The sequence below is a fragment of the Homo sapiens genome, chromosome 8 (assembly GCF_000001405.40).
Source record: "Homo sapiens chromosome 8, GRCh38.p14 Primary Assembly".
In the NCBI taxonomy this organism is placed as follows: Eukaryota; Metazoa; Chordata; class Mammalia; order Primates; family Hominidae; genus Homo; species Homo sapiens.
The window spans coordinates 123,068,170-123,093,886 of NC_000008.11; the positions used below are offsets into that span (position 1 = coordinate 123,068,170).

Sequence of the window (25,717 nt, forward strand, 5' to 3'; positions counted from 1 at the left end):
TCTCATACTATTGGTGGGAATGTAAAATGGCACAACTACTTTGTAAATGTTTGACAGTTTCTTAAAAAGTTAAACTTACTCCTACCATATGACCCAACTATTCCACTTCTAGGGTTTATCCAAGACAAATGAAAGCACACGTTCATACTAAGACTTGCATAAGAACATTCACAGCAGTGTTATTCGGAATAGCCAAAAACTGCAAACAACTCCAGTGTTCATCACCAGGTGGATCAGATGGATGGATAAACAAATTGTTGTATATTGGGCCAGGCATGGTGGCACACACCTGTAATCCCAGCACTTTGGGAGGCTGAGGTTGGTGGATAGCTTGAGCTCAGGAGTTTAAGACCAGCCTGGGCAACACAGTGAGACCCTGTCTCTACAAAAAATACAAAAGATTAGGCAGGTGTGACACCTGTAGTCCCAGCTACTCAGGAGGCTGAGGTGGGAGGATCCCTTGAGCCTGGGAGGTCAAGGTTGCAGTGAGTCATGGTCATGCCACTGCACTCGTGTCTGGGCAACAGAATGAGACCCTGTCTCAAAAAAAAAATTGTGGTATATTGATGTATTAGTCCATTTTCACTTTGCTTTAAAGACATACCCAAGAGTTGGTAATTTACAAAGAAAAGAGGTTTATTTGACTCACAGTTCCACAGGGCTGGAGAGGCCTCAGGAAACTTATAATCATGGTGGAAGGGGAACAGGTACATCTTACATGGCAGCAGGCAAGAGAGAGTGTTACGTGAAGGGGATAGAGCCCCTTATAAAACCATCAGATCTTGTGAGAACTCACTCACTATCATGAGAACAGCATGGGGGAAGCTGCCCCTCTGATCCATCCAATCACCTCCCACCTGGTCCCACCCTTGACATGTGGGGATTACAATTCGTGATGAGATTTGGGTGGGGACAAAAACCCAAACCATATCAATTGATGCCATAAAAAAGAATAACTACTGATACATACAAAAACACAATTGAATCTCAAAATAATCTCAAATTTATGATGAATGAAAGAAACCAGACCAACAAAAAAAAAGGAAAGACACCAAAGTACAATACATACACGTAGTCTATGAATCCATTTATATAAATTTCTAGAAAATGTTAACTAAAGAAAGGAAAACAGATCGGTGGTTGCTCATGGGCAAAGTGGGGTGGGAGTCGAAAGGTTACAAAGAGAGATGAGGAAACTTTTAGGGATGATGGATGTTTTCATTATCTTGATTATAGTGATGGTTTCATGGGGGGGTTAGCTACCTAAAAACTTATAAAACTGTACACTTTAAATATGTAAAGTTTATTGAATGTCAATTATTTCTCAGTAAAACTGTTTATATGTATATACTTGGAACACTAATTGGTAGTCCCTTCTGCTCTAGTTCCTTTCTGAATCATTAGTCACTCAATAACAGGTACATATGTGTATATATAATATATATATGTATATATGTACATACTGTTTATATATGTACATACTATTTATATAGTACATACTATTTATATGTACATAAATATATATAAAGGTACATATTATTTGTGTGTGTATGTATTTATATATATACACACATAAATATATATAGGCTAGGTGCAGTGGCTCACACTTGTATTCCCAGCACTTTGGGAGGCCGAGGTGGGTGGATCACTTGAGGTCAGGATTTCGAGACCAGCCTGGCCAACATGGTGAAACCCCATCTCTACTAAAAAAAAAAAAAAAAATACAAAAATTAGCTGGGCGTGGTGGCGCAAGCATGTAATCCCAGTTACTTGGGAGACTGAGGCAGGAGAATCACTTGAACCTGGGAGGCAGAGGTTGCAGTGAGCTGAGATCACGCCACTGCACTCCAGCCTGGGCAACAGAGCAAGACTCCATCTCAAACAAACAAACAAACAAATGTATAAAGGTCCATACTGTGTACCTTTATAAATACATATGAAAGTACATATAAATAGTATACCTTTACACTATACAAAGGTATACTGTATACTAAAGGTATATTTATATATAAATAGGTATATAGTATACCTTTATATATAAATAGGTATGTAGTATACCTTTATATATAAAGGTATAAAGTATAGGTATATAGTATACCATATATATAATAGGTATATAGGTATACTTATACTATATACTTTTATACATATAGATACCTTTATATATGTATATATATTTTATATATATAACATATGTGTGTGTGTATGTATATATATATATATATATATATATATATATATATATATATATATATAAAAATAGTATGTACCTGTTACTGAGTGACTAATGATTCAGAAAGGAACTAGAACATAAGGGACTACCAATTAGTGTTGTAAGTGTATACATGTGTGTGTGTATATCCATATATATACATTTGGATATCCAAATATATATGTATATATATTTATCTGTACATTATTTATCTGTATATATACAGATAGATACATATAAATAGTATGTACCTGTTATTGAGTGACTAATAATTCAGAAAGGAACTAGATCACAAGAGACTACCAATTAGTGTTGTAAAAACTGGGAGATCTAATGAGTAGAACTTTAGCAGCTGTGGGTACACATCTCTTCAGCCTGACCTTCAAATTGTGCCCCCTAAATCAAAAGATAAGTACAAAGTGGGAGTCCAGAAGATCTAACATATAAACCTCTTTATCACATATCTGAGATTGAATAGGATGGCCACATGGGCTGAGACAGCCCAAACTAGCTTAGCTGCAGACAGGTTAAGCTAGAGAAGTTAAGAAAATCATTCAGCAGATTCATCTTTGCTTCCGATAAAAAAAGGTTGTTTGGTTAATGGTGTGGGATAGAAATGTTGTGAAATAATCTGTTTCAGGTTAGGCACTGTATCTTAAATTTAAGATTCTAAGTTTCCTAAATAATAATGCAAACATTGATACATGTAGTTTATCTCCATCTCAAAACCAATAAATAAAAATAAGAGCTGCAGTTGCTTCCTCTGCAATAGGTCATTACAAGTTGTCTGATCTCTCAGAGCCACCCCTTGATAACAACATAAAGTTTAAAAACCTGCATTAGTATTTTTTTTGAGAATTTGCTTTTCTGATCAAGAGTTTGAACTTTTCAAATACCACGACCATATAATTTTTTTAACATCATTTTTCTGTTGTAGAACAACATAGAGACTAGGAATGGAAAGATTTAAGGTTTCCTTGTCTGCAAAAGTGGATAATATTAGTACTTACCTGTAACAGGTTGATTGGTGGCCCCCCAAAATATATGTCAACATACTAATCCCAAAATCCGTGACTGTTACCTTACTTGGAAAAAGGGTCTTTGCAGATGTAATCAAGTTAAGGATTTTGAGATGAAAAGATCATCCTGTATTCCTGTATTATTCATATGGACCCAATGACAAGTTTCCTTATAAGAGAAAAACAGAGGGAGATTTGAAACAGACAGAAGAGGAAAAGATACATCCAGGAGGAGAAAGACGTGTGAAGATGGAAGCGGAGAATGGAGCGATGCGATCACAAGCAGAGAACGCCAGCAACTCCCAGAAACTGGAATAGACAAGTAAGGGAATCTTGCTTAGAGCCTGAAAGGAGGCTGCAGACACTTTGATTTCCGATGTATGGCCTCAAGAACTTCCCAAGAATACATTTCTGTTTTTTTATGTCACCAAGTTTGTGGTAATTTGTGAGGGCAGCCTCAGGAAATTAATGCACAACCTCATAGAGCACTAAAAATGGAGATAATTAGTACTACCTAACTTGTAAATTTGCTACGAGGATTAATTGAGTTGATATATTCGGTATAGTAGAAAAGTGCCCCATACCTAGTAAGCGCTCCGGAGGCACTAAGTGAATTTTTATCAAAGGAACGCTAAAGTCGAGGCAGCCAGTTGTTGATATTATTGCTTTTCTGGACCATGATTGGTGGACTGGACATCATAATGCTGGAAGGCCTGTCAGATTACGAAACTGAAGAAACGAAACAAAACCATGAGGATGGTGAAAAGGTCAGGAAGAATGAACTATTTCATCTGTAAGTTTCATTTGAGCCCGAACGTTCTATGAAAGGAACCCATCAGTTCTCAATGTATTTGTCTCCTTGCTTCTCTGCACTTGTTTCCTTGCTTCTCTTAGTTATTTCTATACAATTCCTTAATCCCTAAAAGCAATTTAGAACGGAATGCAGGGACCACAGGAGAAAATGAGTTTTATTGCCTCTGATGGGAGCCTAAAACCCCACGAGGCTCCCAAAGGGCGGAATTCCCAAGCCAATTCCTCGCGTCTATGATCCACCTGCAAAAAACTACGATTCCCAGAAGGCTTTGGGTCCGGGGGCGGGAAGACTGAGCTCAGAAAGAGGTGGACTCTAAGAGAAGGTCTTTGGTCGATTACATTGTCCAGAGAGGGAGTGGCCGCTTGGGCGGATTTTGGGAGGGATCAGCCTTCCAATTGGTTGTTATTAGAAAGGGGGTTGGTACGGCCTGCTGGTGCTGGACCTAGGCCGCCGCGGCCGGAGCTCAAATTTCCCGGGCCGGGAGCGCTGGGCCTGCCGGGAAGGCGCTGGGACGGTTACCCAGCGGGCCGCCGGCGGTCGTGGGCAAGCTTCGCCATGCAGAGCACTGACCTAGGCAACAAGGAGAGCGGCAAGATATGGCACCGCAAGCCGTCCCCGGCCACGCGGGACGGGTAAAGGCCGTGGCGGGAGGGCGCGGGCTGTGGAGGGGATGGAGACCGGCGAGGAGGGGACGCCGGGCGTCAGGCAGCGTTCCGGGTTCTGGCTCTGACCTTGCCCCGCATCCCTGGGTTGGATGACCTGCGGTGGAACAGATGGCTCCGGACGCCAGGGTCCGCAGAGATCCCCTTCTGAGTTCTGGGAGCGGGGGTCTGGTCCGGGACAGCGCGGAGCAGGAGGAGGCCGGTGGTTCTCAGACCTGGGAACTTGCGGCTTTTGCTGTGTACCGGGACTCTCCTGCTTTTATGATCACGGTATCCCGCTAGTGTCCCTGGCACGTAGTAGGTGCTCAGTGAGTATTTAACAGTTGCAGCTGGAGCAGAACTCCAGGAGGAGATGCGGGGTGGAAGAGCAGGACAATTCTGCCTCTTCCAAAGGCTGCAGTTTATCCATCCTTAAATCCTTGGATGTGTTTAGACGCACAAGCATTCATCAACTATTTGTTGAGCTCCTACTGTGTGCCAAGCACGCCTCTAAGCGCTGGGGACGGCGATGGAACAAAACACACTTCCGGTTCTCTGGAGTTTACATATCGGCGTGTATGTAGGGGCTGGGGCGTTCATTATGCATTGCTGGGGGGCTTCTAGTACGGCCAGCGCTGCTTTTCATTCTGTTCCCAGTTACCTGTCCTGTTTGAGGCTCAGCCTGTCTTGTTTCCCTGGAAGCCTTTGCTACAAAGCGGTGCCATTTGGATTTCGATTTCTGCACGCAGAGTGATCTTATTGCTCCTAATTCCCTAGGATTTCACGGAAATTGCTTGAGTTCCTGTTTCAGTGTGTTTCTTGTTCTAGCAGTGATTTTTCTTTTCTTTGAGACGGAGTCTTGCTCTGTCGCCTGGGCTGGGGTGCAGTGGCGCGACCTCGGCTCACTGCATCCTCCACCTCCCGAGTTAAAGCGATTCTCTTGCCTCAGCCTCCTAAGTAGCTGGGATTACTGGCGCGCGCCACTACGCCCGGCTAATTTTTGTATTTTTAGTAGAGACGGGGTTTCACCATGTTGGCCAGGCTGGTCTTGAACTCCTGGCCTCAGGTGATCCGCCTGTCTCAGTCTCCCAACGTGCAGGGATTACAGGCCTGAGCCACCGCGCCCGGCCTCTAGTGATTTTTCTATTGATCCTTTGGTTGCTTCTTGACAAATCAGAATTTTTTTTTTCTCTTGAGACAGAGTCTTGCTCTGTTGCCCAGGGTCGGATGCAGTGGCGCGATCTCGGCTCACTGCAACCTCCGCCTCCCGGGTTCAAGCGATTCTCCTGCCGCAGCCTCCTGAGTAGCTGGGATTACAGGCGCACCACTCCCGGCTAATTTTTTGTATTTTTAGTAGAGACGGACCGTGTTAGCCAGGATGGTCTTGATCTCCTGATGTCGTGATCCACCCACCTTGGCCTCCCGAAGTACTGGGATTACAGGCGTAAGCCACCGCGCCTGGCCGACAAATCAGTTTTAAGTGCCTACTCTGTATATCCAAAGTGCGATGCGAGACGTTTTACCAGCAGCTTGTTTGGTTCCTGGTTACTGTCAGGCCTCTTTATCAATGCCGCTGCCTCAACTACATTGAATAAAAAATTTTCTCTAAAGTGGGGATTCCTCAAGTTTTTCATTTTCAAATTCTGAGTTTGTGTGAATACCACTCCCACCTCTGGTATTCTCTAAACATTCTAAAAGTTATAGCCCACTCGCCTTCTCTTTCTTGATGATACAAAATATCTAGATATATGTGCAAGATTCAAAAAGTGAAAGAAATGGGTTGATTATCCAAATGTCTTGTTTGCTTCTTCCACTAAAGCATAGCTTATCTTTGTGTTCGTTAAAACCCATTGTTCATGCTGTTTAGACGGGCAGAGAGCACTGACTTGGAGTCAGATGTATTTTGTTGAAGTAAATGTCCGTTTACCAACTCTGTGACCTTGGGGAAGTTAATCACTAAGGCTGTCAGTGGGGAGAATCAGATTTACCAGACAGGTTGTCTTACACATTTGGTGCTCAGTAAATATTTGATATTCTTCTTGTGTTTGAGAACTGAGGAACTCTGTCAGGCAATCTGTGAGAATCTGAAAGGAAGTTGCTCTAAAATAAATTTTTTACGTGTGATTTATATGAAAAATCGGAGGGGCAGAATGTCACTATTGTGATTACATCTACATGGTAGGATTATAATTGAGTATTTGTTTCTTAGTGTATTTCTATATTTTTCATATTTTGAACAATGATTGTGTAATTTTGTAGCCAGAACATGTAATAAGTGTTCTAGAAAATAAGACTGGAGGAAAAAGTTGTTTGCTCTGAGTTTAGTTGCCATGAAACATTTTGATATTGCTTGTCATTTCTGTATGTTTATTTTTGTGTTTTTAATTCCTTGGGGACTAGATAAAAATAAGCATTGTTAAGAATTTTGCTATTTCCTTTAGTGAGTCTAAAAAGCCTTATGTTTAGATACACATGGAGAAAATGTTTAATCCACTTAATTCAATTTAGTATACTTTAATGAAATTATAATGAAGATAGATGTTTCTAATATAAAATCCAAAAACTAGGCAAGGTGCAGTGGCTCACGCCTGTAATTCCAGCACTTTGGGAGGCCAAGGTGGGAGGATCACGAGGTCAAAAGTTTGAGACCAGCCTGGCCAACATGGTGAAACCTTGTCTCTACTAAAAATACAAAAAATTAGCTGGGCATGGTAGCGTGCACCTGTAATCCCAGCTACTCAGGAGGCTGAGGCAGGAGAATCACTTGAACCCAGGAGGTGGAGATTGCAGTGAGCCGAGATTGCACCACTGCACTCTAGCCTGGGTGACAGAGCGAGACTCCATCTCAAAAAAAAAAATAAAACAAAATCCAAAAATTTATGAAAAATCAATTAAGATAAAATTTTCATGATTAAAAACTATTGTTGCAATAAAGAATGGGATTATTCTGATCTTTGTGACGAGAATATACGCACATATATTATTTTAAGGAGTTATTTTGTGCTGTAAGTTAATTTTATAAATTTTCTTTCAACAGATACAGGGTATATAATCCTTCTCTCAAAAAGGGTAACTTTAAACACATGTATTCTTGTCTTTCCTGTTATGAAAATAGTATGTAATCATTAAATAACATGTCTAAAAGATAGAAAAGTAGAAAGGGGAAAAAAATTAACCATATTGCTATTACCTGCAGACAGCTGCTGTTAATATTTAGCTGTATTCATCTTTTTTTCCCTATACGTATTTTTCTTTTCCTTTGGAGACAGGGTCTTACAGTGTCACCCAGGCAGGAGTGCGGTGGCATGATCATGGCTCACTGAAGCCTTGACCTCCCCAGGCTCTAGTGATAATGCCACCTCAGACTCCTGAGTAACTGGGATCACAGGCACATGCACCATGCCTGGCTAATTTTTTGAAATTTTTCTGGAGACGTGTTTGGTTTTGATTTTTCTTCTTTATTTTTTCTTTTAATTGTGTGTATGTGTGTGTGTGTGTGTGTGTGTGTGTGTATCAGTGTTTAAAACTTCAGGTTAGAATATTTTCGTTTTCATTTAAGTTTAATCATTACATATGTGTCTCCAGAATAAGATTGAAAAATAAGCTCCCTTACTGTTTTATATGGCAGTATGATTAATGTGGGTTTTAAAGAATGATTTCTTAAAGCATTTGTTCATTCAGCAGGCATATTTTGAGTGTCTTTTGTGTGTTGTAGGCCAGGTGCTGGGGTACAGTAATGAGCAAGCAGTGGTCCTGTCCTTACAGAACTCGCCTGCCAGGGTATTCATGGTAGATACATTAGAAATGGAAGTAAAACTCATGCACGCGTAATTCACTGTGAAACATTCCATACACAAAAACAAAATCTCATACCCTGTTGTTATCACTTAATCACAGTTTATAAATCTGTTTATATGTGTGTTTATTTTTTTAATATCTGTCCTTACTACTAAATTGTAAGTGCCATGAAAGCAGGGACCATATCAATTATTCTTAGCACCTGGCTTGTTCTGTGTCTGACACAGTGAGTTTTCAAGTATTTGATGAATGAATAAACAGTAGCTATTTTGATAATGAGTAGCTTCTGACCTGTTTTTCTGAAATCCTGGTAAGATTGATTCTAGAGGAGCGGGGGTATAGCGGTAGCAGTAGGAGAGGGAAGAATGAACAGACGAAATGCTTTACTTGCCATATTTTTCATAATATCAAGTAATACGTGACATAGATTCAATGTTTGGGTTTTTTTCTTTGACAGAATTATAGTGAACATTATTCACAACACTTCCGATTACCATCCAAAAGTTTTGCGATTTTTGAATGTGGCTTTTGATGGCACAGGCGACTGCTTAATTGCTGGGGACCACCAAGGAAATATTTATGTTTTTGACTTACATGGAAACAGGTAAGCAGATACCATTGATATCTACGTTCTTTAACAAGTTATTAATTCACTGACTGTTTTCGTACCTGCTATTCATTATTCATTCAGAAAGATTTATTAAGTTCTATTATATTTCAGGTACCTTGCAAAATACTGTCATAAGTGCTAAAGGACGAAAGTGGGAAAAAACAGAATGATAACATGGTTCACATTTTAAAGAATTAAAGTGCTGGTTTTAATAGTATCTCTAGTAGTTTCCTTTTTTTTTTCTTAAATTTAAAAATTTATTATTGCTAATTTTTTTTTTTTTCTTCAGACGGAGCCTTGTTCTGTCGCCCAGGCTGGAGTGCAGTGGGATGATCTCAGCTTACTGCAAACTCCGCCTCCCAGGTTCCAGCTACCGCACCCAGCCCATAGTTGCTAGTTTGTCAATTTCTGGTACATCATGAGGCAATGTAGAAATAACACAGTTTTCTTTGCACATTGTTGTTGTGGGGTGCCAGATCTAAGAATTTTAAAGAATTGATTTTCAGCTGGGTGTGGTGACTCAGGCCTGTGATCCAGAAATTTGGGAGGCCAAGGCGGGCGGATCGCTTGAGGTCAGGAGTTCGAGACCAGCTTGGCCAACGTGGTGAAACACTGTCTCTACTAAAATACAAAAATTAGCTGGGTGTGGAGGTGCACGCCTGTAATCCTGGCTATTTGGGAGGCTGAGACAAGAGAATCACTTGAACCCAGGAGGTGGAGGTTTCAGTGAGCCGAGATCGTGCCACTGCCACTGCACTCTAGCCTGGGCGACAAAGCAAGACTCCATCTCAAAAAAAAAAAGTTGGTTTTCACTCTTCTTCCTCTTCTCTTCCCTTGTGAAACAATTTAGTCCGAAAGCAATTAGGTGGGATTGATGGAGATAGGTATTCATGCAGCGGGGCTAAGAGGGAAGGACAGCTGCAGCAGCCTAGCAGAGAGGCAGAGGGTGTCTGCATAGCGAATGGGGCAGTGATGGGAAGCTAGTTTAATACAGGGGGCTTTGATCAACTAAATATATTAGGGATAATGAGGGCCAAGTTTCTCACTCTTAGAAAAGAGACTTACATATATGGAGGGCAGAAAACTAGAATAAACCCCATGGTATTGTATTGGAATTAGATATATCAGTTTGAACCCCTGGTTTTGAATATATAGAGATAGATATAGCACTAAATAGAGGTATGTACACATATATGTACACATTCCCTAGCTTCGTACACCCAGAGGGCCTGGGAGCAACAGCATGCCAGCAGCAATGAATATACCCGGTGTTGAGTTCTTGTTTTCAAAATACCACTTTCTACTAAAAAGAATCAAGGATATTTGCAAAAATGGCCAATTTCAGAATGCAGACAGGGAAAGTACAGGATGAGCCTGTAACATTTTGTAGCCAGAAAGAAGGAATTGTTCAAAGAATGTTCGGGATGTGTCAAAAAGACACAGTTGCCAGCTTGAAGGAGCTCCCTCTGGTCATATTGGAGATGGGTCATGCATTGAATAAAATTGAAATCTATGAGTTCATGTTGTAACCAGTATACAAACAGTTTAGTAAGGCATGGATATTGAATAGTCACAAAGTACCCCCCCACAAAATACTTATTAATTATAGAAGAAAAAAAATTATACAATGAAGAAGCCTAGCAAACACTGCCTTAATCAAATGACTAAAGTTAATATAACTAGTAGTGGAATGAATCAAAATTTGTGTGCCACCTGATAGGATGCAGTGAAAAGAACACGGCATCATTTCTGTGATATTCCTCCCAAGATATATAACCTGAATCTAATCAGTGGGATCATCACACAAAGCTAAATTAAGGACATCTAATAACAAAACTGTGCTGATATCTCTACAAGGGACAAGATCATGCAAGTTGGGTAAAGACTAAAGAACTCCTAATCTGAGGGGGATGAAAGGGACATGACAAAGGCATGAATCTGGACTGATCCTTTTGCTATAAAGAACTTATTAGGAAAATTGGCAAAATTTGATTGGAGTTTTAGGATTAGATGGTGGTAATGTATAAATGTAATTTATTGGTGCTGATGGTTATATTGTGATTATGTAGGAGAGTTTTCTTATTATGGGAAACTTGATCTTGGTAACTTAAATAGTTAAAGAAAAGATGTGACATATAATTTACTTCTCTGTGATTCATTAGGTAAAAATCTGTAAATCATTGTTTCTGCCCTTTACCAAAAAAGTAATGGGCCCAACTTTTCTACCCTTTATTCTTGCTTAACTTACCTCACCAATTCCTAATCTTAAATCAGTACCACTGTCTATTTGCTAATACTTCTGAAAAAAATAAAAATAATTGTTGATTGATTTCATGACTAATGAACTTCAACATCGAGGACTCTTTGCACTTCATTTGCTTGTCTACGGTTACTTAACGTTTCCTATTCTCCACCAAGTGTTGCAAACCTTTACCAATTTCCTTGTCTCCTTGCATTGGACTCTACTGTTATTCTGACTGCCAGGCCTCCTGATTCATGGGAAAATAGATACCTTCAAGCTTTCCTTTCTCCTTCCCCATTGCAGCCTCAAGTATATTGTAAGTTCAGCCCCCATTACCTTATTCATAAAGTTCAGCCCTCATTACCTTATTCATAAAAACAGGTGATCTTAATTTCTTCTAGTGCTAATCCCTATCTTCGATAGCCTCTCCTGAGATATTGCACCATAAGTGTTACTATTTTGTCCATTCCCTTTTCACTGTTGGTTGTTGGGGAGAAAAAATAATTTTTCCTCTACCCTTCTAGATTCTCAACTGGACCCTTGTAACAAAAGATAGATTAACAAGAGAAGAATGAATAAGTTATTAATATCTATCATGCGTGTAACACATTAGAATACCCAGAGTATCCAGGTATTAGTATGAGATGTTATCAACTTGTGTCATGCATGTAACACGTGACAGTATCCAGGTATTGCTAACTCAAAAAGTGGCTTATGCTCTGGCTTATATAGCATCTTCATCAAAGAACAATACATTTTTAGAGAAGTGACAAGACAAAAGAAGAGGACCTTGAGTCTCTAGGGGCAGCAAATTGTGGGAAGGCAAATATATGGGAAACTAATGGTAGTTATATACATTTCTCTGGTGCTATTTTCAGGGTGATAAAGATCTAAAGTCAACTCCTGTGATCAACCGTTGTCCTTCCTGGTAGAGAAGGGAAGAGGGACCCCTTTGTAAATGTATGCAAATTTATGTAAACTTTTAGACAAGAGCAGAGAGCTTTTCTTTTCTTTTCTTTTATTCTTTTTTTTTTTTTTTTTTTTTTTTTTGAGACGGAGTCTCACCCTGTTGCCCAGGCCGGGGTACAGTGGTGTGATCGGCTCACTGTGCAACCTCTGCCTCCTGGTTTAAGCAATTCTTCTGCCTCAGCCTCCCAAGTAGCTGGGACTACAGGTATGTGCCACCACGCCCAGCTAATTTTTTGTATTTTAGTAGAGACAGGGTTTCACCATGTTGGCCAGGATGGTCTCGATCTCCTGACCTCGTGATCCGCCCGCCTAGGCCTCCCAAAGTGTTGGGATTAGAGGCGTGAGCCACCGCACCTGGCTGAGAGCTTTTCTTATATCTGCTTTTTCTCATTTACCTTTAGCTCAAAGTAATCCTTATGCCAAAGTGGGATGTTCGGGATGGCATATTCTGCCACCCTTCACTAAAAACATTTGTGGCTGAGCAGTTAGCAGCAGAGCTGGGACTTAAAAATCAGACTTGATCATAAAGCCCAGTATACTGGGCTCCCTAAAAATCTTCCTAATTGTTCAATCCATTGGTCACTTTTCAGTTCTCATTTTACTGAAACAGTAAATACTCTTGTCTTCCCATCCTGCCTGAAATTATTTTCTTTGGCTTCATGGTACAGCTTTTGCTGAATTTTCTACCTCTCTGATCATTTTTCCCCCTTATTTTACTGACTCTTCTTCCAGTGCCTTCCCCTTTCATGTTGTGCTCCCCAGACATCTTTCTTTGGCTTACTTCCTTCCATATTTCAGGTACTCTTTTCGATAATCACATCACCACCAAGCCTCAGGCTTCATCTGCCATGTAAACACTGTTGACTTAGACCTACTTCTGCTACTACTACCTACTAGAAATCTTCTAGATTGGGCTCCCAGGAGCCACTAGCTTGCATGTAAGTCTTGAGCCCTTGAAAAGTGATTGGTCCAAATTGAGATATGAAGCACATGTAAAATTAAAATACACAGTGGATTTTGATGACTTAATATGATAAAAAGTGTAAAATATCTCAATAATTTTTAATTGATTAAATATTGAAATACTAATGTTTTAGACACATATTGAGTTCATAAAGTATATTAGTCTGTTCTCATGCTAATAAAGACATACCCGAGACTGGGTAATTTATAAAGAAAAAGAGGTTTAATGGACTCTCTGTTCCATGTAGCTGGGGAGGCCTCACAATCATGGCAGAACGCAAAGGTACTTCTTACGTAGTGGTGGCAAGAGAGAAATGAAGACCAAGGGAAAGGGGTTTCCCCGTATAAAACCATCAGATCTCATGAGATTTATTCACTACCATGAGAACAGTGTGGGGGAAACTGCCCCCGTGATTCAATTATCTCCCACTGGGCCCCTCCCACAACATGTGGGAATTATGGGAGCCACAATTCAAGATGAGATTTGGGTGGGGACAGAGCCAAAGCGTATCATATATTATCAAGATTAATTTTACCTGTTTCTTCTTACTTTTCTAATATGGCTCCTAGAAAAATTTAAATTACGTATGTAGCCCACGTTGTATTTCTTTCAGACAGCATGACTCTAGATGAGTTTCACAAGGGCCTTAAACAACATGTTTAAAAGCAGGTTTATTATTTCCTACCCCCAAACTTATTCCTCTTTTGCCTAAGTTCAAAAGCTTAATTTTTTGTAAATTAAACTCCAGCTAGGTGCCCAGTACTCTACTGAGCACTCAACATGTATTCTTTCATTTAGTCATCACAACAGCCCTGTATCTATTCTTATCTTCATTTTACGCAAGATCGGGTCCTGATTCCCTCTTCTTCACTCCATGTTGAATCCATACCGAACCTCTGCTTGGCTTCTGAAACCTCTCCTATTTATGCTCCCATATCTCTGGCTGAGATTTTCTGTAGTAACTTTCTTAGTGATCTCCTTTATTCCTTGTCCCTCTATCCATTTGCCATTGCTGCCAGGATCGTCTTCCTAAAACACATACCTGATTGTGATTCTGCTGTGCTAACACTTACAGTGGTTTCCTATTCTGATAACATCCAAACTCCTTAATATGGCACATAGCACCCTTCATAATCTATTTTTGGCCTAAAATGGTAGCTCATTTTTCTGGGTTTCATTTTCTTCGTCTCTACGGACTCCTTCCACATGGAATTTGTAATTATTGGAAGAATTTGTGATACTAATGCAATGATCTCTTAATAGGTTCAATCTTGTTCAGCGAACAGCACAAGCTTGCACAGCTCTGGCCTTTAATCTTCGTAGGAAATCTGAATTCCTTGTGGCATTAGCTGATTATTCTATTAAATGTTTTGATACAGGTAAGAAGTTCTCCTATTTTTCTTTTGAAGCAGAGTAAAATATAAACTGAAGAACTGCAAGAACTTTATCACTCTGTACAGCTTGAGGGGGCAGTCCCCATGACAGCCCTCCCTTCAGACACTAGGTGCAAGCTGAGGGTCCTAGAAACAGCCTCACTTTAGATCAGTTGACTACAAAGTCAGGGTTTCCTGACTACTGTCAGGTTTGATAATTTACTAGAACAACTCACAGAACTCAGGAAAGCACTACACTTAATGACAGTTTTAATATAACAAAAGGATACAAAGTATAACTAGCCAAAGGAAGAGAAACATGGGGTGGAATTTGGGAGGCTTCCAAAAGGGAAGCCTCCATTGTCCTCAGGGATGCATTGCCCTCTCAGATGACACTCCCAGCATTGGTGTGTGGCTGGCCATCTGCGCCAAGCACTGTTGACGCAGGGAGTCGACCCAAGCTTTGGTGTTTTTGGTGTTTTCCCTACCAAGCTGTTTTCTCTGCTTACAAAGATACACACAAGTACATCAGAATCAAGTTTAAAAACCAAATGTATTATCAGTATCTCACACTGATAAACCTGTTCCTCCTCATGTATTTATTATTTTTTTTTATTTTTTATTTTTTTAGAGATAGGGTTTTGTCATGTTGCCCAGGTTGGTCTCGAACTTCTAGGCTGAAGTGATTCACCTGCCTCAGCCTCCCAAAGTGCTGAGATTACAGGCGTGAGCCACCGCCCGGCCCCTCCTCATGTATTTCCTACCTCCGCTAACAGTATCACCATCTGCTTAAATAACTAAGCTGGAACCACTGGAGCCTTCACTTCTCTTATATCTCAGGACATCAATTTGATCACTAATATTTTTTGTTTTTCTCCTTAGTAGCTCTTGGATTTGTTCTTTTCTCCATTGCCTCTTTCTTAGTTGAGGCCCTCCATATCTCCTGTCTGAATTATTACAGCAACATATAAATTAGTCTTTCTTGTTCAATCTCTTCCCCTCCACCAGATATCCTCAAAGTGCTCTTTCTAAAACATAGACTAGATATGGTACTCTTTTACATAAAATTACCTGCAAGAGAAAGCCCAAACTCACTAGCATCAATTTTGAAGTTATTCTTCATCAAAGCCTTTGTCAGCCTTGTCTCCTACATGAATGAGATGTTGCTAACATGTTCCGTCATACACTTTATCAACTAGCCACAAGCTTCCATTTTTGTGGATATTAATGGAGGTGCCTCATATAATACCTAACCACCCATTGCATCAGTTCATCTATGGTGTTTATATGTAATGTTACTTCTAGACGTACAGTGTTTTACCTGGGTAACAATTTTACTTTTTACCACAGTCACCAAGGAGCTAGTTAGCTGGATGAGAGGACATGAATCATCAGTATTTTCGATCTCTGTGCATGCATCAGGGAAATATGCCATCACAACTTCTTCTGATACAGCACAATTATGGGACTTGGATACCTTTCAGAGAAAAAGAAAGCTGAATATTCGCCAGTCTGTGGGTATACAGAAGGTCAGTGAGGGGGTACATCTTGGTCTGTTGTGCTTCTCGGGCTAATTTCTTGGTCAACAGGATGTATAGATGATATAAGAGTAATGATTCACTTTGTCCTTGTAGCTCTGTAACTCAGCAACAAGCAAAGCAAAGTGGCCAACACAAAGATGTTGCCTATAGCTACAATTTATAACTTAGTGAGCTCTTTTCTAAAATTATAGCTATGTAACTTCAACTGTCCTAAGGCGAAAGTTATTTAGTTGATTGCTTTTGTTTTCATTTTTAACCCTCTGACATTTTATTATGAAAAATTTGAAACATGCAGTAGATTTGTGAGAATTTTTGAACACGTGTACATTCAGTATCTAGATTCTACCATTAACATGTTACTGTACTATCCTTTACTCTACTTTACATGGTACCATACTCTCTTATGGGTCTATCCATCTTTCTTTTTTTTTTTGGTTTTTGTTTTGTTTTGTTTTGAGACAGAATCTCGCTCTGTCACCTAGGCTGGGGTGCAGTGGCATGATCTCAACTTACTGTAACCTCTGCCTTACAGGTTCAAGCGATTCTCCTGCCTTAGCCTCCCATGTAGCTGGGACTACAGGCATGTACCACCATGCCCAGCTAATTTTTGTATTTTTAGTAGAGACAGGGTTTCATCATGTTGGCCAGGCTTGTCTCAAACTCCTGGGCTCAAGCAATCCTCTTGCCTCGGCCTCCCAAAGTGCTGGGATTACAGGCATAAGCCACCATGCCCAGCTGTGTGTGTGTTTTAAAGTAAACTTTGGTCATCAGCATACTCCCCTGTGAATACTTAAGCCTGTACTTAATTAACTAGGGGTCAATATTTGTTGATTTAAAATTTATATATAATGAAATATGTAAGTCTTAAGTATTCATTTGTTAAATTTGACAAATACACACACCTGTGTAACCTATGCAGCTGTAGCATTACATTATCCCAGAAAATTCCATCATCTCCCTCCCTGGGTGACCACCACTCTTACGTTTTCCCACCATGGACTAGTGTTGCCTATTCTAAAATTTCATATAAATAGAACTATACAATAATAGTTTATGTAAGGCTTTTTTCACTCAGCATAATTTTGTTTGTTTGTTTGTTTGAGATGGAGTCTTGCTTTGTTGCCCAGGCTGGAGTGCAGTGGTGTGATCTTGGCTCACTGCAAGCTCCGCCTCCCAGGTTCACACCATTCTCCTGCCTCAGCCTCCCAAGTAGCTGGGACTACAGGTGCCTGCCACCAGGCCCGGCTAATTTTTTTTGTTGTTAGCCAGGATGGTCTCCATCTCCTGACCTTGTGATCCACCCGCCTTAGCCTCCTAAAGTGCTGGGATTACAGGCGTGAGCCACCGCGCCGGGCCCCACTCAGCATAATGTTTTTGAGATCCATCCATATTATATTTATTAGTAGTTTGTTCTTTCTTATTGCTGTTTAGAATTCCATTGTGTAAATATACCACCTTTTAAAAATCCATTTCTTTTGTTTTTTTCCAACTATGTAGAAACATATGGTATATAGGCCTCCAGTTGTACTCTTGTTCTGAGCCCCACAGATGCCCCAGTTTGGTTCTATCATTTCTTTTAACAGACAAGCCACATAACCAACCTCTCTGGGCTTCCGTTTCCTGAGCAGGAAAATGGGTCTGTGGTAACCACCTTACCAGGGCTGGTGAGAAAATGAGATAAAATAAATAATTCATGTCAACGGCTTGGCCGAGTGCCAGGCCCTTATATAGTAGCTCCCATTGTTATTTTGTCCTTTATGTCCCCTGGCTGTCATCTCCTGTGATTTCCTATATGACATCCAAACTGGTCTCTTTCATAGGGTTTCCACGCTGCTACCCCTCCTCCCTCCTTACCACACCCAGTAACCTTCCCATTCTCTCCACCTAGTCAAATCTAACCCTTTCTTCAATTGTGATAATAGTTACTGAAGCATTTACTATGCTTCAGGCATTGTATTAAGAACTTTCCATACATTATCTCAACTCAGTCCTGACACTGCCTCAATGAAGTAGGCAGTGTTTATTGCTCCCCAAACACAAAGACACGGGGTCTGGAGACTGGAAGCACTGGCGGCTGCAAGTGCCAGAGCCGGCAGGGTGTGAAGCCAGATTGGAGGCTTTCTGCAGAGTCAGGCCTCCCAAATCCTGGGATGGAGTCAAGGAGCTTTTGGCTGTCCCACCCTTTTGGTAGTGCCCCGGTCACTCTTCCTCCTCCAAGTCCCCATATCCAAGCCTGTCATATCTCTTCAGCTCTAGGGGCCTGTCTGTGACTTCCACCCTAAGGGAGCTGGCACTTTGTGTCATGCTACATTGTCCACATCACCGATTCCCCCTCCCTCTCTCCCCTTCCTTCTTCCTCCCTGTTCTTTTTTTTTTTTTTCCTTTGCAACGGAATCTGGCTCTGGCATCCAGGCTGGAGTGCAGTGACACAATGTCAGCTCGCTACAACCTCTGCCTCCCAGATTCAAGCGATTCTCGCCTCAGCCTCCTGAGTACCTGGGATTACAGTCGTGCGCCATGACAGCCAACTAATTTTTGTATTTTCAGTAGAGACGGGGTTTCACCATGTTAGCCAGGCCGGTCTCAAACTCCTGGCCTCAAGTGATCCACTCGCCTGGTCTCCCAAAGTGCTGGGATTACAGGTGTGAGCCACCATGCCCAGCCTGGGCACCTGTTCTGTGCCAGGCTTTGGTGTTCAAAATGTTAGAAGTGGAGAAGTCAGAGGAAGATGGAATTATAGGTCTTTCCTCTTCAAAGCTTTCTGTTTGGCTGATTTTATTCAAATGAGCACACAGGCCCTATTCCTCAAAGCCACTTCAAATGTGGCATTGCTAGGTTGTTTTAGTCCAAGGAAGGCCGTCTCCTTAACTCCCACTGTCTTTTGGTTTTCAGGTTTTTTTTCTTTCTATTTCATTAGCTAAATATTATTTTCAGGAGTATCTGAGTCTCTTGTGTGATTAATTATTTTGCTTCAGGTTGTATTATGCATGCAGTACTGCTTTTAATTTCTAGGTTATTAACATGAACAGCTAGCAATGCATGTCAACCAAAAATTTACTTTGTAGTCTCCATGGAAATCCCAGAGTTCTTTAATGTGCTTTTAACAATTAAAAAGAGATAAAAGTTGTGCCAGCTTATTCATTAGGGATTTAAGCCAAATGTCTTTTCTTCTTTAATTTAGGCCAAAGGTCTTTTCTTCTTTAATTGCTTTAGTACTTACATTTTGAATTTTAAGTTCCAAAGAAGAGAACATTGGGAGTTGAACCCACATGGAAACAGAGTTATGAAACAATGACACATGACACAAAAGCCATCTGTTCTTTTTACTATGAAATTAAAATGAGTATACGCTGAATAGTTGCCAACGCAAACCTTGCTTGGACATTTAGACATTTTAGTTTAAAAATTAGGACTGTGGAAAATGTATGTATAGTGTGATGTGTGCCTAAGTATATTAATGTTAGTGCTATAAGAATAAAACTAAATGTGAAAATGTATGTATAGTGTGATGTGTGCATATAGTAAATTGCTCTAAAATAATAAAACAGGACCGGGTACGGGGGCTTACGCCTGTAATCTCAGCACTTTGGGAGTCCCAGGCGGGGGGATCACCTGAGGTCAGAAGTTCAAGAACAGCCTCAGCCTGGCCAACATGGTGAAACCTCATCTCTATTAAAAATACAAAGATTAGCTGGGTGTGGTGGCACATGCCTGTAATCCCAGCTACTGGGGAGGCTGAGGCAGAAGAATCGCTTGAACCCGGGAAACAGAGGTTGCAGTGAGCCGAAATTGCACCATTGCACTCCAGTGTGGGCAACAGAGCGAGACTCTTGTCTCAAAAAAAAAAAAATACAATACAATAAAATACACTATAGTTTAAGTTATCAGCAAATTTTTCTTAAAGGGCCAGTAAATATTTTTGACTTTGCAGTTCAAGAGCAAAATTATATAACCATTCAGAATGTAACCATTTAAAGCCAGGTACCCAGCTACTCTGGAAGCTGAGGTGGGAGAATCCCCTGAGCCCCAGAATTCAAGACCAAGATGGGCAACACAGTGAGACCCATCTCAAAAAAAAAAGTGACCATTCTTAGCTCCTGGGCTGTACAAAGACTAGAGATGGGCCAGGTGATGACCACTTCAGTTGTAAACAGGAAATAACTGTAACCTTAATATTAAAGTAAAACGTTCGGTTTTTAAAAAATTTTTTTCCCCTGACACAGCCCTCAGGAGAGCCTGAGAACATGTGCCCCTAAAAACGTTAATTCTTACCAAATTCTTACTAAACTCATATTTTTATTACAGATTCTGATTCTATATTTTAAATAGAACTTTTATTTATTTGTTTGTTTTGATTGCACATGCGACCCTTCAGTAACTTGCTTTGGGTCTTTTGTTATGGATTTCATTTTTGATGGCTCTTTTAATCTCACACAGTCTTCTACTTTTTTTCTCATGACATTAATTTTCTGGAGAGATCAGACAGACCAGTTATCTCAGAAAATGCCCCACATTCTGGAGTTGTTTTTTCTGTTTCATCATTATTGTTTAATTTGTCTGTCTTTCACCTGCATTTTCTGTAAACTAGACATTAAGTCTAAAGGTTTGAGTAGATTCCTGTTAAACATTTTTGACAAGTTATTTATCTTATGTATGGGAAAAAATAGTAAACAATACAGGTTGAGGATTCCCAATTTGAAAATCTGAAATCCCAAATGCTCCAAAATTTGAAATTTTTTGAGTGCTAACATGATACTCAAATATCAAGCTCAAAGGAAATGCTCATTGGAGCATTTAAGATTTCAGATTTTCGGATCAGGGATACTCAATTGGTGAGTATAATGCAAATATTCCAAAGTCCAAAAAATCCAAAACATTTCTGGTTCCAAGCATTTTGCATAAGGAATACTCAGCCGTAGCACCTCCCTCAGGGTTGGTTTCAACATTAAGTGTGATAATCTATGCAAAGTTAGCACAGTGCTGGTTGTATAGTAAGTGCTTAGTAAAATTGCATCTGTTGCAATTTTACCATCAAGCCTATGATAGGATTATCTCAGTGCAGTTAGATAATTTGCTTAAGCTGTAGGGTGGCAGGCACATGGGCTCATGCCTGTAATCCCAACACTTTAACACGCAGGCTGATTGCTTGAGCCCAGGAGTTTGAGACCAGCCTGGGCAACATGGCTAAACCTTGTCCCTACAAAAAATAGCCTGGTATGCTGGTGTGTGCCTGTAGTCCCAGTTACTCAAGAGGCTGAGGCATAAGAATCACTTGAACCCAGGAGGCAGAGGTTGCAGTGAACCAAGATCACACCACTGTGCTGCAGCCTGGGCGACAGAGTGAGCTCCTGTCTCAAAAAAACAAAACTGTGGAGTAACTGTTATTTATTTTTTAGTTACATTATATTAACAATTCAGAAACCCAAAAGTATTTAAATAACTCAGTGGCAAAATGCGATCTGACCTCAATTCATTTGGCAGCAAAATCTGAACTGAATTGACATGAGGCTGAAATATTAATATATTTGAGTATGGGGCATTGCCCCAGGTCTCCTAAAGTTCTACATAATGTTATAGAATATACATCATACTACCTATCTAAAATTGGAAATCTGCATTCTGAAACACATCTGGCCCCAAGGGTTTCAGAAAAGGAACTATGGAACTTTGATTTCAGACTGTTTTTAAAGAACCTACCAGTCTAACCTCTTTCCGCTGATTTTTGTAAGCAGTAATAGCAGTAATTATTAGTAATAGTAATAGATACCCGTTATTTAGTATGTTCCATGAACCTTCATTTTAAATAGTTATTTTAAAGCTTTAATCCTAAAGGGTAGATATTATTATCCCCATTTTACAAGAAGGGAAACCGAAGTTCAGAAATATTAAGTACTTTGTCCAGAAATATTAAGTAATTTGTTCAGTATCACATAGTTTAGGAGAGAATTGCAGTTTGAATTCAAACCTGTCTTTATCTAAAGTCTTACTGCTTCTCAGGTAAACCAGTTACACCTCTTCAAATTAGTACATTTTTATTCTTTTGTTGATGTTTGGGGGTAAGATATTCAGCTCATTAGTTAAGGATTTTGGAATCCCCGGGATTTGTGATTACTGTGGTTCAGCAGGTATCAGAAAAGGCTTTGTGATGGATATCAGAAAACATCTAATAAAGAGTGTTTTGCTGAACTCAATTCAGCCTGTGTACCCAGGACACTCACTAAATACTAAATATACAAATAATACATTTGACCTTAACTTGCTAATATTAGTATCCTAAACTCTTTAAACCTTGAAAAAGGGCTGGGCACTGTGGCTCACACCTGTAATCCCAGCACTTTGGGAGGCCAAGGCAGGCGGATCACTTGAGGTCAGGAGTTCTAGACCAGCCTGGCCAACAAGACCAGCCTGGCCAACATAGTGAAACCCCATCTCTACTAAAATATACAAAAAATTAGCCGGGCATGTTGGCACATGCTGTAGTCCCAGCTGCTTGGGAGGCTGAGGCACGAGGATTGCTTGGGAGGTTGTAGTGAGCCAAGATCACGCCACTGCACTCCAGCTTGGGTGACAGAGGGAAGACTCTGTCTCAAAATAAATAAATAAATCAATAATAAATAAATAAATAATAAGGTAAAATAAACCTTGAAAAGAGTTCATCTACCTCCTAAAACTGAATTGGAAAGCTTAGGATTTTTGTGTTCTACAAGGAAAAACTACAGCTCCGTCCTTGAACCTAACCCCCCAAAAAGTATACTTTGTTAATGTTTTGAAGTTTTTCCTAAGGTTTTTATGTTTCTCAAGAGATGACACTATCTAAATAATAATGACATGCTTCATTAGGAACAATTTTATAATCATTAAAATATGGCAATTAAAATCACAAATCTAGTAATGAATAATCATGTAGGCAATAATCTATCACAGTTATTCTGCTAAAATAGCAGTTGATGCTCATTAACTTTTAAGCTTCTGCTTTTCCCAGTAGGAATAAACTTTATTACTTTTCCAGAAAAATGACTGCTAATTATAATAATAATTTTCTTAAGTCACTTTTTGACATCAGTTTTGAAACAGTGTTCTAATGCGTTCATTATAGATTATAGAAATCTGTAAGGCCTTCATATTATAAATCTTCCTAACAGTGAATCTAATAGCAAAAGATCTACCACAGATTGTCTTTAGCAAAGTGAGCCAAGGAAGAAGGGAGGAGCTTGATCAGGCCCTTGCCTGATCTGTCAGTATCTGATGTAGTTGAGTTCGTATTTTTTATTGTCTTATTGGCATTAATCCTGAGTAGATTATTTTTGCTAACCAGTCTGTTCTCTAGTGCATTATATATGTGTGTGTGTTGTACAGATGACACACAAAATTATATTCAAGGCCACTGAAACTTTTACGAGAAAATATTGGTTAATTTCCGTTAATAATTTTGCATTAACAAAAGGAAGCATTGTTTATGCTTATGTGATAGAAAAATGAAAATTAGGAGAATAAAGTGATGACATTTTCAACTTTACTATCAGTTTCATTCTCAGTTGTCCATTAAATGAACTGAATCTGTAATAAGATAGGATTATATATGCATTTGCACCTTTTTACTCATATAAAAAAATGGCTTAACACTTACTTATCCTGAAACACTTTGCCCAGTATTCCCAAAGGACTAACTTTTTTTTCTTGAGATGGAGTTTCACTCTTGTTGCCCAGGCTGGAGTGCAGTGGCGCAATCTCAGCTCATTGCAACCTCCACCCTCCAGGTTCAAGTGATTCTCATGCCTCAGCCTCTTGAGTAGCTGGGATTACAGGCGTCTGCCACCACACCCGGCTAATTTTTGTATTTTTAGTAGAGACGGGGTTTCACCATGTTGGCCAGACTGGTCTCAAACTCTTGACCTCAGGTGATCCACCCACCTCAGCCTCCCAAAGTGCTGAGATTACAGGTGTGAGCCACCGTGCCTAGCCAGGACTAACTTTTAAAAGCAAACTGACTAATTTGGGAAGATATATATTTTAAGGCTGTTGACACATATCATATAACATCTTTAAATAATTTTTACTCCCAGCGGCAGTGTATGACAGTGCCTTTTTTTACTCTATATATAGTATATGTAGAACTATATACTAATATAAACACTGTATTAAATACTAACTACTGATAGATGTTTAAAAAATATCAAATGTTGGTGAAAGTATAGGGAAAAGACACTGTCATACACTGCCACGGGGAGTAATAAATACATACACCCCATTTTGTGGGAGTAATATATATAGACAAACACCCCATTTTGTCTATGCATGTATGTGCTTTCTTTTTGAAGACAGAGTCTTGCTCTGTCACCCAGGCTGGAATGCAGTGGTGCAATCTTGACTTACTGCAACCTCCACTTCCCAGGTTCAAGGGATTCTTCTGCCTCAGCCTCCTGAGTAGCTGGGACTACAGGCACACACCCGGCTAATTTTTTTTTTTTTTTTTTTTTGAGACGAAGGCTCACTCCCTCACCCAGGCTAAAGTGCGGTGGCGGGGTCTTGGCTCACTGCAACCTCCACCTCCCAGGTTCAAACAATTCTCCTGTCTCAGCCTCCCAAGTAGCAGGGACTACAGATGCCTGCCACCATGCCTGAGTAATTTTTTTATTTTTAATAGAGACGAGGTTTCACCTTGTTGGTCAGGCTAGTCCCAAACTCCTGACCTCAGGTGATCCACCCGCCTTGGCCTCCCAAAGTGCTGGGATTACAGGTGTGAGTCACTGCGCCTGGCCTAATTTTTGTATTTTTTCGTAGAGATAGGGTTTCACCATGTTGGCCAGGCTGGTCTCGAACTTATGTCCTCAAGTGATCCGCCTGCTTCGGCCTCCCAAAATGCTGGGATTACAGGTGTGAGCCACCACACCTGACCAATGTGCTTTATTTTAAAAGTAAAATTGATACTCAAAATTATATCTTGTTTTCATTTAACTCTTTAGTAATATTAGGTGAAATTTTTTAAACTGTCATTTAGAATTTTGTGACTTGCCTAGTCATTATAGTGTACCTAGTTTTCGTTTGAAGGGTTTTTTTTTTAGTTAATAATAATTTATGAAATAATCAGTATTACTCCTTGTCATATATTAGAAATGTATTTTCCCCAGCTTAAGAAAATAATATTTTAATAAAGAAAAATAGACTACTTGTATAATTTTAAATTTAAAGTCTCTATGTGAACCTTATGTGAAAACTAACTTTCTCTATTCCTCCTTAGGTTTTCTTTCTACCATTAAGTAATACCATCCTCAGCTGTTTTAAAGATAATTCCATTTTTGCCTGGGAATGTGACACACTTTTTTGCAAATATCAATTGCCAGCTCCACCTGAAAGCTCTAGTATATTATACAAAGTGTTTGCTGTAACCAGGTAATGTGCATTTTAAGACACTAGGAATATTTAAGAAATTTAATTTCTGGTAAAAAATTACAAATTTTCATTTAGTTTTTATTCAGTATCTTTTTGTCATATTAGAAAAAGTTACCTTCAAATTTAGATATGATCTGCTAACTT

General features: G+C 39.8%; 1 protein-coding gene across 28 annotated transcripts in view, besides 2 other annotated features; it reads left to right on the forward strand.

The window, feature by feature from the left end:
* Positions 4,441 to 4,590: a silencer, noted in NCBI's record as "silent region_19493". NCBI's record gives its function as "represses an Ori minimal core promoter by ATAC-STARR-seq in GM12878 lymphoblastoid cells {active_cell/tissue: GM12878}" and the evidence as "EXISTENCE:reporter gene assay evidence [ECO:0000049][PMID:35858748]".
* The window catches only part of TBC1D31 (TBC1 domain family member 31), a 92,467-nt gene continuing 71,287 nt past the window's right edge, over positions 4,538 to 25,717 (forward strand). For 16 of the 28 annotated variants that reach the window (XR_001745622.2, XM_011517379.3, NM_001363151.2 and 13 more), the window contains exons 1-5: positions 4,538 to 4,677; positions 8,942 to 9,088; positions 14,533 to 14,648; positions 15,993 to 16,171; positions 25,422 to 25,573. Coding sequence is in view for 26 of the 28 variants with exons in the window: in XM_011517379.3 (XP_011515681.1) it covers positions 4,601 to 4,677; positions 8,942 to 9,088; positions 14,533 to 14,648; positions 15,993 to 16,171; positions 25,422 to 25,573 (671 nt within the window). In the remaining 2 variants the exon portion in view is untranslated. Of the gene's footprint in view, positions 4,678 to 5,079; positions 5,263 to 8,941; positions 9,089 to 14,532; positions 14,649 to 15,992; positions 16,172 to 25,421; positions 25,574 to 25,717 lie in introns of those variants that run through there. The other 12 variants (NM_001363149.1, XM_047422425.1, XM_047422424.1 and 9 more) reach the window with 3 other exon arrangements.
* Positions 14,840 to 15,134: a silencer, noted in NCBI's record as "tiled region #15016; HepG2 Repressive non-DNase unmatched - State 15:Elon". NCBI's record gives its function as "represses a minimal TATA promoter and a strong SV40 promoter by Sharpr-MPRA in HepG2 cells {active_cell/tissue: HepG2}" and the evidence as "EXISTENCE:reporter gene assay evidence [ECO:0000049][PMID:27701403]".